This window comes from Homo sapiens, chromosome 11 (genome assembly GCF_000001405.40).
Source record: "Homo sapiens chromosome 11, GRCh38.p14 Primary Assembly".
NCBI lineage: Eukaryota > Metazoa > Chordata > Mammalia > Primates > Hominidae > Homo > Homo sapiens.
The window spans coordinates 124,437,175-124,450,850 of record NC_000011.10 but is presented as its reverse complement, the minus strand read 5'-3'; the positions used below and the strand labels follow the sequence as shown (position 1 = coordinate 124,450,850).

Sequence of the window (13,676 nt, the reverse complement as noted above, 5' to 3'; positions counted from 1 at the left end):
TTGATCATTCAGGAGCATGTTGTTTAATTTATAGTTATTTATACAGTTTCGAATGTTCCTTTTGTTATTAATGTCTAGTTTTATTCCATTGTAATCTGAGAAGGTACTTAATATTATTTTAATTTTTTATAATTGTTGAAACTTGTTTTGTGTCCTAACATATGGTTAATCCTAGAAAATGTTCCACGTGCTGATGAAATAAATGTGTATTCTCTAGCTGTTGAGTGAAATATTTTGTAAATGCATTAGGTCCTTTTAGTTTAATGTGCTATTAAAATCTGACTTTTTTTGGTTGATTTTCTGTCTAGATGATCTGCCCAATGCTGAGAGTATGGTGTTGAAGTGTCCAGCTATTATTTAATTGGAGTCTTTCTTTCTCTTTAGATCTAATAATATTTGCTTTATATATCTGAATGCTCAGGTGTTGGGTGCATATATTTTTACAATTATTATATTCTCTTGTTGAATTGATCCCTTTATTATTACTGAATGGCTTTCATTGTTTCCTTTTTATCTCTTAACTTGAAGTCTGTTTTATCTAAGTATAGCTACACCTGTCTGCTTTTGTATTTTGTTAGCATGGACTATTCTTTTCAATCCCTTTACTTTCCATCTATGTATGTCTTTATGGGCAAGATGAGTTTCTTATAGGCATCATATAGTTGGGTCTTCTTTTAAAAAAAATATTGTTCAGTCAGTCTTTATCTTTTAAATGGGGGAATTTAATCCATTTACATTCAAGGTTATTGTTGATAGATAAGGACTTATTATGGTCATTTTATTAATTGTTTTCCATTATTTAATATAATGTTTGTTCTTTACTTCCTCTCTTATTTATTTTTGCAGTTGAGTGATTTTCTGTAATGATAAGGTTTGATTCCTTCGTTTGTGTACCAGCTGTATAGTTTTGCCTGTTTTTATGATGGTGGTTATCATCTTTTCACTTACAGATGTAAGATTCCCTAGAGCATTTCTTGTAAGGCTGGTCTAGTGGTGATAGATTCCCTTAGTTTTTGCTTGTCTGTGAAATATTTTATTTCTCCTTCATTTCTGAAGGATAGCTTTGCTGGTATAATATTATTGGGTGCCAGTTTTATTTCTTTCAGTACTTTGTATATATTATCCCATTCTCTGTTGGCTCACAAAGTTTCTGCTGAGAAATTCACTGTTAGGCCTACGGATATTTTCTTATATGTAACTTGATACTTTTATCTTGCTGCTTTTAAAATTCTTTCTTCATCTTTGACTTTTGACAATTTGACTATAATGTACTTGAGAGAGGATCTGTTTGGGTTAAATATATCTGGGGTCCTTTAAGATTTCTGAAACTGGATGTCCATTTATCTGCCAAGACTGGGGAGATTTTCTGATATTATTTTATCAAATATGACTTCCTCATATTTTTACCTTTCTTCTCCTTCTGAAATACCCATAACATGGACATTTGTTTGGTTAATGATGTTACATAAATCCTTTGATTCTTTTTTTTTTGTCTGCCTGTGTTTTTTCAAAATACTTGTCTTCAAGTTCAGAGATTCTTTTTTCTGTTTGGTCTAGTCTGTGACTGAAGGTCTTAATTGTGTTTTTTTTATTTTATTTATGAATTTTTCAGCTCTAGGTTTTCTGTTTGGTTCTTTTATAATATCTGTCTCACTGTTGAATTTCTAATTTAAATCATGAATCATTTTCACAGATTTGTTGAATTGTCTAGATGTATTCTCTTATATCTCGGTGAGTTTCCTTAGGAGAATTATTTTAAATTCTTTTTCTGGAAGTTTATACATTATGATTAGGGTCTGTTACTAACAAATTCTTATCTTCTTTTAGAGGTGACATGTTTTCCTGCTTTTTTATTGCTGATATGTCCCTGTGTTGATTTCTACTTATCTGGTGGAAAAGTCACCTTTTCCAATTTTATGTAGTAGGTTTCTTAGGAAAAGTCTTATTTGTTTAAATGAGTCTTGGGGTGACAGTTCAGTGGAATGTGTTGACCTTGGTTCTAGGTAAACCCAATAGTGTAGTCTCTGTATAGTTTCTTATAAATGAGTCTTGGGGTGTTGGTTCAGTGGAATGTGTTGGCCTTGGTTCTAGGTAAGCCCAATAGTGTGGTTTCTGTGTAGTTTCTTCAGCTGTAATCCACACTAGTGGCATTTGTGAGTTTCTTGGTAGCCTAGACTGAGAGAGTTTATGGCAGTGGTGGTACAGCTTTGCCAGGGGTGGGCTTGCTGGGCTGTTTCTCAGGTTAGGGACATGTGCATGCACTTGGTGGGCCAACTAACTCAGGGTCTACCTTGCTGCAGTTGAGGCCATGGGGCTGTTACTCTTGGCTGCATGGGAATGTGGTTGCTTGGCCAGCTTGGTGACATGTCTGCCAGAGGTAGCCCACAGGGGTGTTTCTCAGGCCCCAGACACAGTCACGTGGCTTCTCAGCTGTGGTGTGTGTGTTTGCTGGGGGTGGCCCACAGGGCTCTTCCTCCAGCTCAAGACATGGGTGTACAGCTGCTCATTCAGCCTGGGAGTGTGTCTACTAGGGGCAGCTCATGAGACTGTTTGTTAGGCCTGTGATGTGGGCACAAGTCTGCTTGGCTGGCCTATGGTTGGTTCCCAGGGCTCTTTCTCAGGTCCAGCACATAGGTACACAGCTGCTTTGCTGGCCTGGGAGTATGTATTTTCCCTGTAATGAGAAGTCCCTCCTGTTTCTGGGCCAGTCTGATCTGGACTGGGGAGACATGGATGCAGAGTCTGCCTTCTTGGATTTTCCATCATCACAGATGCATCTCCACTCCCTTGCTGCATTCTGGTGCTCTCACATTGACACTCCAGTCTAGTCTTGGCTGTTTATTCATTGTCTTGGTCTTTTCTTGTGGGAGAGATGACAGTCAGGTATCTCTAATCAGCCATCTTGCTCTGACTAGATTTTTAAACTAGATATGATTTTTTTTTTTCTAGAGACAGGGTCTCGCTCTGTCACCCTGGTTGGAATGCAGTGGTGTAATCATAGCTCACTGCAGCCTTCAACTCCTGGGCTCAAGAGATCCTCCTGCCTTAGCCTTCCAAGTAGTTGACTCTACAGATGTGTGCCACCACCCTGGCTATTTATTTATTTATTTATTTACTTTTAAGAGACAAAGTCTCTCTATTTTTCCCAGACTGGTCTCAAACTCCTAGCCTCAAATGATCATCCTGCCTTAGCCTCCTTAGTTGTTGAAATTACAGGCATAGCCCCCAGTTCCAAACATATGATCTTGACTTTAGTAGCTTATAACATAATTGTGGCTGGGGTAAGTAACTCCTAAAGCAGGATAAATTAGACTAAGTGGATAAAAAAGATGTGTAGTAATAATACTTCAGTAAGTCTATAACACTTTGTTAATTCGAAGCTACTTATTGAACACTATGATAGTTGATCCTCATACAATCTTGTATGCTAGGTGCTAACATATCTGATTTCAGATGTAGTTACTGAAGTCCAAATAGCGTAAGCTCGCTTGGCTAGTGGGAGACCTAAGGAGATCCCAGGTCATTTTGCTACAAAGCCTGCTCAGGGTACCATATTTGCCTTCTCTGACAAATTTACTAACAGTTTTCTCCTTCCCTTTTATTGATCATGGATAATTATATGGTTCCACCCTTTACCCTTAACTTGTAGTTTCTGCAATCACTTTTATTTACATGACTTCTCAATATGTGTCTTGATATCTTTTTCTCAGCTCTGATCTCATGCTGATGACTCACTACTGACCATTTGCTCTTACATGTACTTTCAGCACATGAAAGTCAGGTCTAAATTCTACCTCTTTATTTATCTCTTTACTTCCTTATTTCTAGGCCCTGGGGTTGAGACTTTAGTAACCTTTGACACTTGGTCTTCCCTCTCGATTCTTCCTTTATAACCATTAATCTAGCAAATTTATTAATCCTCTATCACTACAAATACTTGAGGCCTAAAGAGACAAGGTTGTCCCAACTAACAGATAAACAGGTTTGATTTTTTTAATTCAAGGAAATGTTCTTGTGCAGAGTAGGATAATAAAAGTAACCATTTAATATAACTCGTGAAAACTAATGGCATTAATATGTGTAAAGCATTTAGGATAGTTCCTAGCACATGGTCAGCACTTACAAAGTATAACATATTAGTACTAGTATTAGTATTCTTAATACTAATGATACTAAAATATGATTGGATGATGTTTTTTAAAATGTCAGCTTTGCACTTTGTGCAGATTACTCATTTTCTACAAATGACATAATGTATATAAAACTTTCTGCACAGTGGTTGATACATATGTGTTTATACATGGTAATTATTCCCCAACATAGACCTCCAAGGTCCCATCTAACTCTAGAATTCTATATTAAATACATATATAATTTATGCATAGGTTTGTATATCAATGAGTTGAAAATAATAAAAGTAAAGTCAGATTAAGTATAATGCAGAAACAGATTACTGCTGATATTGCTTTCTCAGGAGTGAATGAAGGCCATTTCAAATGAAGACCTTTCAGTTGCCATCTTTTTTCTCTGATCAGGTTCTGTAATTTCTTATGAAACTTGTACTTGGTCTTCTTGGTATGCTGTGATGGTTGCTGCAGTTGGGTCCAACCTTGTGCCACCAGAAGTCTGAGGGTTAATGTGTGTGTGTGAGAAACATTGTATTGACTCATATTCATGTGTCACATATGAAATCACACAAATTAGAATGTAATTTTGAAAAGTTAGGAAAAAATAGAAATAAATAAAACAAAGAAGCACTATACAGAAATCCAAGTTTTGGAAGGAGGGCAGTTCTGCAACAAAAGGAACAGAGTTAAGAATAGTTCTTCCTACACTGCTTCCTGCTTGGGCTTCATCTGCTCCTCAGGCAACAAGACTTTAGTAAAGCCCCAGTTGAGAGGATTTTGAAGAGTAGTTTCCATGGCAACAGGCTTTAAAATGACATACATCCAGAAGAACTTTTCTTGGTTGTTCTACCATCCAAACAGGAATCCTCTAAGGCTCCCAGAGAAAAGTCAACTTTTAATGAAGCCGGAGTCTTGCTTTCTGTGCCCTAAGGAGCACCTTTCCTGTGGGACTCATTTCATGCTTGTAATAATGACTTATTTTCTTAAATTGTGAGTTGACTACAGTGGGAATGAGAGCAAGGATTGAGGTTTCTCATAATCACTGAGGGAGTGGCAGATTTCTAGGTATAAGAGTTACACTTGAGGCATCTTGTTTCTGAGCAGTGACTAAAATACATTCCACATGTGGCAGAGGAGCAAGCTCTGAGGTATGTTCAAATGTTACCCAGCACTTATACACAAAACACACACACGTGTGTGCGCACACACACCCACTACACACACAGGACTGGAAGAAGGGTGGTAATTAGCTTGCTGCATGGAGGTCAGACAGCTGCCAATGGGGCTCTAATTGTGAAGCCACCACTTCAGCTGCCTTATCCTGACCAAAATGTACCTCTCATTAACTGAGTGCTGTTTGAAATTTCATAACTAGAGATCTATTTTTTTTTTGCTAAAGACTTTGTCTTCATTTTAAGAAATGCCTGGAAGAGGGTGAAGAATGTGGATTGTCCCCAGCAAGTTGTAGTAGACTGTGTGCTGATGAATTTGTGAGATTCTTCTTGAAAACTTAGTTTTGACAGAGAATTGAAGGAAAGTAGCACTAAGATTGTGAATGTTGGGGAAGAGGAATTTTTGCTGAGACTAGGAGACTAGAGATGGGTATAGGAAGAGAAAATGGGAGGCTGTAAAGAAACCCTTACCTGATTTTGGAATTTGGCTTTTGTGGTGTGATAGAATGTGGATATTTGAAAAATAGGCATTGGTGGTAGGACAGGAAGTAGGGACAGGGTAATATACTCAAGGGCCTGATGTTGTCTGTGGATTGGGTTATGTTGGAGAGACAGGCCTTAAAGTTTGAAGAGTGTATTGTTCCCAGGCTCTTCTCACTCTTGTCAGCTGTCTCCTCTGCCCTATGGCAGACCCTCTCTTGTCTCTTTCAGGCTCATTCAGCTTTAAGCAAGATTTTTCCTTCCCTCATGCCATCCCTAGGATATATGCATTTCATATTTGTTTTATGTCTATTTTCTACAGCATTTATCAGGGCTCTTTCTTTTGTCAACCACTCTTCTCGGCTCTTCCACTTTCATGATTTAATTTAACTCTCACAACAACGACACTGTGAATTATCGCCATCATCCCCATTTTATAGATGAGGAGATTGAGAATTAGAGATTAATGAACATTTTGTGAGCTATATGATTCAAAGATATAAAAGTGAATAAAACTACAATGTTGCTAGCATCATTATAGTTCATGGAGGGACAGGACAGTAATACATTGTGAGTAGAGCTGCAAGAGATCTAAGAACAAAGTACTGTAGGATTTGTCGTGGCTAATCCCTATTAAGGTGTGAGCCGATAATTATTTGAGATTACTCCTTCTGGCATTTAGGTGTTTTGATAGGTCATGCTCAAGACATAAAAATTCTCTGAAACATGGTACTGAATAATTTCAGGTCCTTGATGAATTTACTGATGCATATTTAGTTTCTTGTCCTGGAATCAAAGAGACTTGGGTGAGGATGCTTCCTCCCAGGTGGAGTAAGGAACATTTTGTTGAAACCTGATCCGAATACTGTTTTAGGAGTACCTTAGCTGGGATTTCCATAAAAAGCTGTGCTGGGGACAAGGCCATACATGCAGATAGCTTATTTTTAGAAGTCATCCCAGGGAAAAGAGAGAGAGAAAAACAGGGAAGTATAGAAAACCAATAAAAGGTTCTGTTATATGTTACCTTAATGGGGAATTTAGGATTAGTTCCTCTGAGATCTTTTGATGTACTAAGAAGAATGAACCACTGGAGATACACAAAAGGGAGACATTTACCCACTGACTCCCAGGGGTGTTAATTCCTTCACGCTTACAGATCAGCACGTGCACCATAATGGCTGAATGGATTCTCAGATGTACCACTTTGTGGTGGCAGAGGTGTCCTAGGGCTGAAAGGAGGGGATACGTAGTGTAGTCAAGAAACATTGTTATTGGGCTATAGCTGGATGCAGCTCACTGCCACAGCAACAGCAGAAGCCCAAAAGATAGGCTGAGTAATATAAAATGAGGCATAAAACATGTGCAACACAGAGAGCTTGGTGATGGGACCTGAACTCAGACCTGGTGAAAATATTCAGGATAGTAGGCAGAGAACAACACAGCTAGAAGACAGGGCCAGCGTTATGTGACTTGTCATGTGCTAAAAAGCTTAGAAAGGCCTTTTGCTCCATTTACCTGCTACTTGTTTTGAAAATTCATCCTTTATCTTATTGCTGGTGCTTTGAGCTATGGCATCGTGTCTGAATTACACATTAAACATAGCATTTGGGGGGAACATGGCATCAAGTCATCAACACCCAGTAGCCCAATAGACTAATTGGCCTCCCTCCCCACAACTCTGACCATGTCACTCTCATATTCAATATATTCCATGGATTCACATTGCATACGTAATTCCTGTCATGACGTTCAAGTCTCTCCACAGCAGGAACCTGGGATGCTATTCCAGGGTTGATGCACAACTATATCCCTCCCTGTACTCTACATTCCAGCCGAACTAAAGGCCAGGTGAACTTCCTCCAGACAATGTAACTGGAAAGACTGGAGACCCAAGTTTTATTCTGGACTTCACCACCAACCAACTCTGACTGGTGGACTTCAATTTTCCTGTCTAGAAAACGTAGGGTAGATAGAGTATTAGGGCATTGAATCCCAAACCTGCCTAAACATCCAGATCAATAGGGTGAAACCTGTCTAAATATCCAGATCAATAGGGTGAGAAATATAAGTTATAAAATCCCACCCCTGGAGATTCTAATTTATGATGCCTGGCTTGGGGCAGCAGGATCTGTACTTTTAATAAGCATATAGTTATCTAATTCATTTGCACAGCCAGGTTTATGAACCACAGGATTAGATGATTTTTAAATATTGATTCAAATTTATGGGGCTCCAAGAATGATAACTAGCTGTCACTGAGCTCAAGCAAGGCTCTGAGAGGCTAGAACACAGAAGGGATGACTTTTGTCACGAGAGAGGGGAGTTATGAAAAGAACAAAGCAAGCAAAACGAGAAAGCAAATATCCCGTGGGAAGAAGGAGAATCAAGCTACAAGGCCTTCAGGCTCACGATGAGGAAAGCTGAAAATAACACTGGAAAGAACAACGATAGAGGACAGGGGCCATCTAGGGGAATCCCAACAAGTTAGCAATTTTGGAAAAAACTCTTAACCAATCGAGATTGATTTTTACTGTCAAGCTCAAATTCCAAGAAAAGACAGATTGGTTTGTCTTCTGGACTGGGTATTGTGCAGCTCAGCAATGAACTGAAATATAAGTGATAGGTTGAATGTCCTCCATCAGAGTGGCATAACATTTTGTTTTTGCCTTTTCTGGATCTTATCACATGCTTTTGCTTAGTTATGTGTGTTCTAGTGTCTTTTTCAAGACATGGTCAGAGTCTTGAAGGCAAGAACTGGGCTTTACATACTTCATTATCTTCTATAGAGAGGTGTTAAACTCAGTTATTAAGAACACCAAATCTGGAGTAAGATGCACCTAGTTTTAATATGGCCTTTGTAACTTAACATTTGGGGAGTTACTTCATCTCTAAAATGAGGGTGATAAAACCCAGCTCATAGAATTTGGGGTAGAATTAAAATGAAAAATTATATGAAAAATGGTATTGGATCCTGGCATGCTGAGGTCAGTGCATAATGCTAGGAAAAAAAAGGATTAGGTATACATTAAGTGCTCAATAAATGGTAAATTATTGTTTTTGCACAATGCTTTGCATATTTCCGAGTAGATGTTAATTGAACAAATATTTTCATGTTTCTAAAAGCCCATTCAAATATTATCAAGGGTATGAGCACAACTTTGTTATATCCAGGTCTGTGATCCCAGGGGAACTTCTGCTGCTCTACTTCTAATCAGTTCCCCAGATATCCAAACTCAGAATAAAACTGCTCAGTCTCCTGTCATTGGCTGTCACTGATAATGGTAAGGATGCTGTCGCCTTTCTGCAAGCTGGAGGAAGGCCTCAGGGCACAGCCTCCATCAGATGTCACGTACTGTAGCTCAGAAAGAGTTCTGAGGCAGCCGAGGCTCCAGTGCTGCCATCGGGATAGGGCCTAGCGGGCTGGTGCTTAGTCTTTCATCTGTGATAGCTCCGCAGCCAATCTGTCTGAACAAGTGAAGATAAGAGCTGGACCTAAAGGCACATCACTGAAACTCTGGGCTGAAGAGGATGAGAGGCTGAATCCGGATGAGCAGTCCGAACTTTTCCCGAGTCCCCAGTCTCAGGTACTAAAGCTCTGGGAAGTCCACTCTACCCTTCTGCTCTGTCCAGGATGACCCTAACCCTAACTCTCCAGGCACAGGCGGGCTGGGTCCGGCCTCTAAGAGGACTCTTCCTGGAGACTGGCCCCAGTTTCTGTAAACTTAAGTAGAAACTGGAGTTGAAAGGGCGCAACAAAGGGATCAAAGTAAAGATGGGAGGCCTTGCCAGCAGCACCTGCCCTGGCCATGGAGGCGGGGCTTGCTCCAGAGGGAGCCGCAGCAAAGCCCCCTCTGCTGAAGTTCAAAATCTCTCTGTGTGCCTCCTATTCTCAAGAAGGAAGGAGGGATGACTGGGAGGGCAGCAGTGGTCTCTCTCTCTCTCTAAATAACTTTTTCCCTTGTCCCCACAGAATGCCTTAAATGACAATGGCTGCTGAGAATTCCTCCTTCGTGACACAGTTTATCCTCGCAGGCTTAACTGACCAACCGGGAGTCCAGATCCCCCTCTTCTTCCTGTTTCTAGGCTTCTACGTGGTCACTGTGGTGGGGAACCTGGGCTTGATAACCCTGATAAGGCTCAACTCTCACTTGCACACCCCTATGTACTTCTTCCTCTATAACTTGTCCTTCATAGATTTCTGCTATTCCAGTGTTATCACTCCCAAAATGCTGATGAGCTTTGTCTTAAAGAAGAACAGCATCTCCTACGCAGGGTGTATGACTCAGCTCTTCTTCTTTCTTTTCTTTGTTGTCTCTGAGTCCTTCATCCTGTCAGCAATGGCGTATGACCGCTATGTGGCCATCTGTAACCCACTGTTGTACATGGTCACCATGTCTCCCCAGGTGTGTTTTCTCCTTTTGTTGGGTGTCTATGGGATGGGGTTTGCTGGGGCCATGGCCCACACAGCGTGCATGATGGGTGTGACCTTCTGTGCCAATAACCTTGTCAACCACTACATGTGTGACATCCTTCCCCTTCTTGAGTGTGCTTGCACCAGCACCTATGTGAATGAGCTTGTAGTGTTTGTTGTTGTGGGCATTGATATTGGTGTGCCCACAGTCACCATCTTCATTTCCTATGCTCTCATTCTCTCCAGCATCTTCCACATTGATTCCACGGAGGGCAGGTCCAAAGCCTTCAGCACCTGCAGCTCCCACATAATTGCAGTTTCTCTGTTCTTTGGGTCAGGAGCATTCATGTACCTCAAACCCTTTTCTCTTTTAGCTATGAACCAGGGCAAGGTGTCTTCCCTATTCTATACCACTGTGGTGCCCATGCTCAACCCATTAATTTATAGCCTGAGGAATAAGGACGTCAAAGTTGCTCTAAAGAAAATCTTGAACAAAAATGCATTCTCCTGAGAAAAGGGCAATGCTCAGGAAAGAAACACTGTTTCTCCCATAAGTGATTTGGACTCCACTGGTTACATGGAAGAAATATAATTTTTCCTCAAACAGGTTCATCATCCCCATTTTAAGGGTTCTTTAATTTACAAACATTCTTAAGAGCTTTGAATACTCACACAGTAAGTCTTGAGGATCATTTCACTCAGTTCCCCGCTATTTCTGAGGATAGACTCAAGCTTATGTACCTTCCCCGAGGTCGCTCAGCTGCTCAGCAGTGGAACTGCGACTAAAATCCAGGCTCTTTATTTCCAGTACTGGCTGCTTTTCATTATGGCTCACTTTCTTCCTCCCTCAGCCTCTGGAAGATTTCATTTCAAATGTGAGCTGGCCTAGGATGTTAAAATCTGATTCTGTCCTCAGAAATTACATGCAACTTTTCAAAGGCTAATTTTAAATGTCGCATTTTTGCAAGTAGGTAGGAAGTATATAGAATTTTTTGTTGAGATGGCCTTGGCCAAATGACCAGGGAAATTCTTGAAGCATTTTGAAGAAGGTGCAGGGGAAGTGTGTTAGGACCCAGGGAGCAGCATGTATGGTACCTCTTAAGACAGTGGGGTGGAGCTTCAGGGACTTGGACTTGAAGGGTTTTAGTGATGCTGGGTGGAAGAACTTATAGAAAATGTCAAGGTTATGAAGAACAGAATTTGGGAATTATTTCACATGCAATCACATACAATCATTGCCCTGTTTTCAAAAGTCAAGATGGGGACCAAATGCAGTGGCTCATGCATGTACTCTCAGCTACTCAGGAGACTGAGGGAGGAAAATCGCTTGAACCCAGGAGGTGGAGGTTGCAGCGAGCCAAGATCATGCCACTGCACTCCAGCCTGGGCAATGGAGCAAGACTCCATCTAAACAACAACAACAACAAAAAAACTTCAAGATGGAGAAGTCCACCGCCTAGGGTGGTCAGTTATGGATCTGGAGAATATTTCAGAACCACAGAGAGCCTTGTGTTACAAGTCAGTAGTCAGGTGAGATCCACACAGCAGTCAGTCAGTGGAGGGAATGACCACTGAATGGTATAATGCTGCATGCAGCAGAAACCATGTGGGGTACTTTTTGCATGGTTTCACAGATCAACTTTCTGCCCCTTGGCGCCTCACGCCGAATCCTGGGAGGTATTCCTTAACTGGTCCCCTTGCCCTCTGGTTTCAGTTGGGTTAGACCAATGGCAACATCAGCAGAGGAAATCAGAGGGTAGGAGGAGTGTGATATTATGCTATTTATTTCCCTGACTTCCTCCTAGCTGGGCAACAGTGGCAGTAACTGAATGCCTCATTTCTTACTGGGTTATAATAACTGCCCCCTCCCTCGTCTCTTCATGCCAAGGAGTGATAATGTCTCCCTGCTGTTGCTAACCCAGAGAGCTTGACCATCTCTTTGTGGTTTCTCTCAACCACTTTTGCTTAAACAAATGCAGATAGTTTCTTTATTGTATTTTCAATTACTGTATTTATGTGGATCATCTGATTTTTGCAGAAACCCTGACTGCTGCACCTTCCAATAAAGGGTGGGAGAAATGATATGGCTCAGGTTTATAAGCCCACAGCCTAATGGTACTGTATAAAGGAAGGTAGAGTAGCTTTTCAGTTTAAAAAGATTATAAATAGTAGATTTCTTTGTGAAACAATGATATGTGAAATGCTGTGAAAATGTGTTGACTTACGAGTCTCTCTTTAGGAAGATTCTCTTCTATTTAGAAAAAGTAAAGTTTGGATGGATGTAGAGTGTTGCCCTTTGGGATGGTGCAGATTAATAAGGGTGAATTCAAAAGAATGAGGGATTGTGTCTTGGACAGCATGGACTAGATAAACAACACAGAATTTAGCTGACTATGGGATTGAGAGGGGCAGAGCAGCATAAAGACTCAAAAAGAGCAGAGCCCAGAGAGTTGGATGGTAGAATCAAATTTGAACCTGAGCTTCTCCTCAGCTGTGTTGCCTTTAGCATTACATGATGTCTCTGAACATCAATTTCTTCATCTTTAAAAACGTTTTTCTCAGAGGTATTAAGTGAATTAGATGCCAGATTCTCGGTAAATTTGTTTCTGTCCCTGCCAGATCCTTTTCCTTTTAATATCAGCACTTGCACTAATTTATTATGTGACCTTGGGACAATTGCTTCATTTTTCTGGGTCTATGCTTGCTTATATGAAAATGATCATGTTCTATCAGATTATTTCTACATTCCATTTACAAGATATATTTATTTATATATTGACCAGATAATACATTTGCTATAGGCTGAACACTTGTGTCCCCTCAGAATCAGATTTTGAAATGACGGATGTTGAAAGGAGGTGGGGTCTTTGGGAGGTGATTAGGTAATGAGGGTGGGGCCCTCATGAATGAGGTTAGTGTCCTTATAAAAGAGTCCTGAGGCTGGGTGCGGTGGCTCACGCCTGTAATCCCAGCACGCACGCACGCGCGCGCGCACACACACACACACACACACACACACACACACACACACACAAAGTCTGAGAGAGACCTCCCCCACCTCTTCTACCATGTAAGAACAAAACAAGAAGGCTCTGTCTATGAGGCAGAAAGCGGGCTCTCACCAGACACGGAATCTGCTGCTGCCTTAATCTTGGACTTCTCAGCCTCTGGAACCATGAGAAATAAATTCCTGCTGTTTAAAAGCCACCTGGTGTGTAGTTTTGTTACAGTGGGCTGAACAGACTAAGACAATGTTTATGATATTAAAACTAGTACCAAAGAATAATCAGTGAAAGGAAGCCTCCTTTTACTTCAGTTTTCTTGTCATGCAGTCCTCTTCTTTTCTAGGGGTTATCATCGTTGCCTGTTAGCTGTATATTTTTACATAGTCACTACATGTACAAGTTGTGTGTGCCTGCACATACATACACACAGTTTTTTAATTTGTTTCCAAAGTCATGAAAACCTACTTTGAAATATATCCAG

General features: G+C 40.6%; 1 protein-coding gene across 1 annotated transcript; it reads left to right on the top strand.

Moving 5' to 3' along the window:
- The first annotated feature begins 5,154 nt into the window (after window positions 1-5,154).
- Window positions 5,155-13,406, top strand: OR8B8 (olfactory receptor family 8 subfamily B member 8). Its single transcript, NM_012378.2, has 3 exons — window positions 5,155-5,275; window positions 9,228-9,363; window positions 9,750-13,406. Exon 3 carries the CDS (start codon window positions 9,766-9,768, stop codon window positions 10,699-10,701), a length of 936 nt encoding a protein of 311 aa, NP_036510.1. The 5' UTR covers window positions 5,155-5,275; window positions 9,228-9,363; window positions 9,750-9,765; the 3' UTR covers window positions 10,702-13,406.
- The last annotated feature ends 270 nt before the right edge of the window (window positions 13,407-13,676 follow it).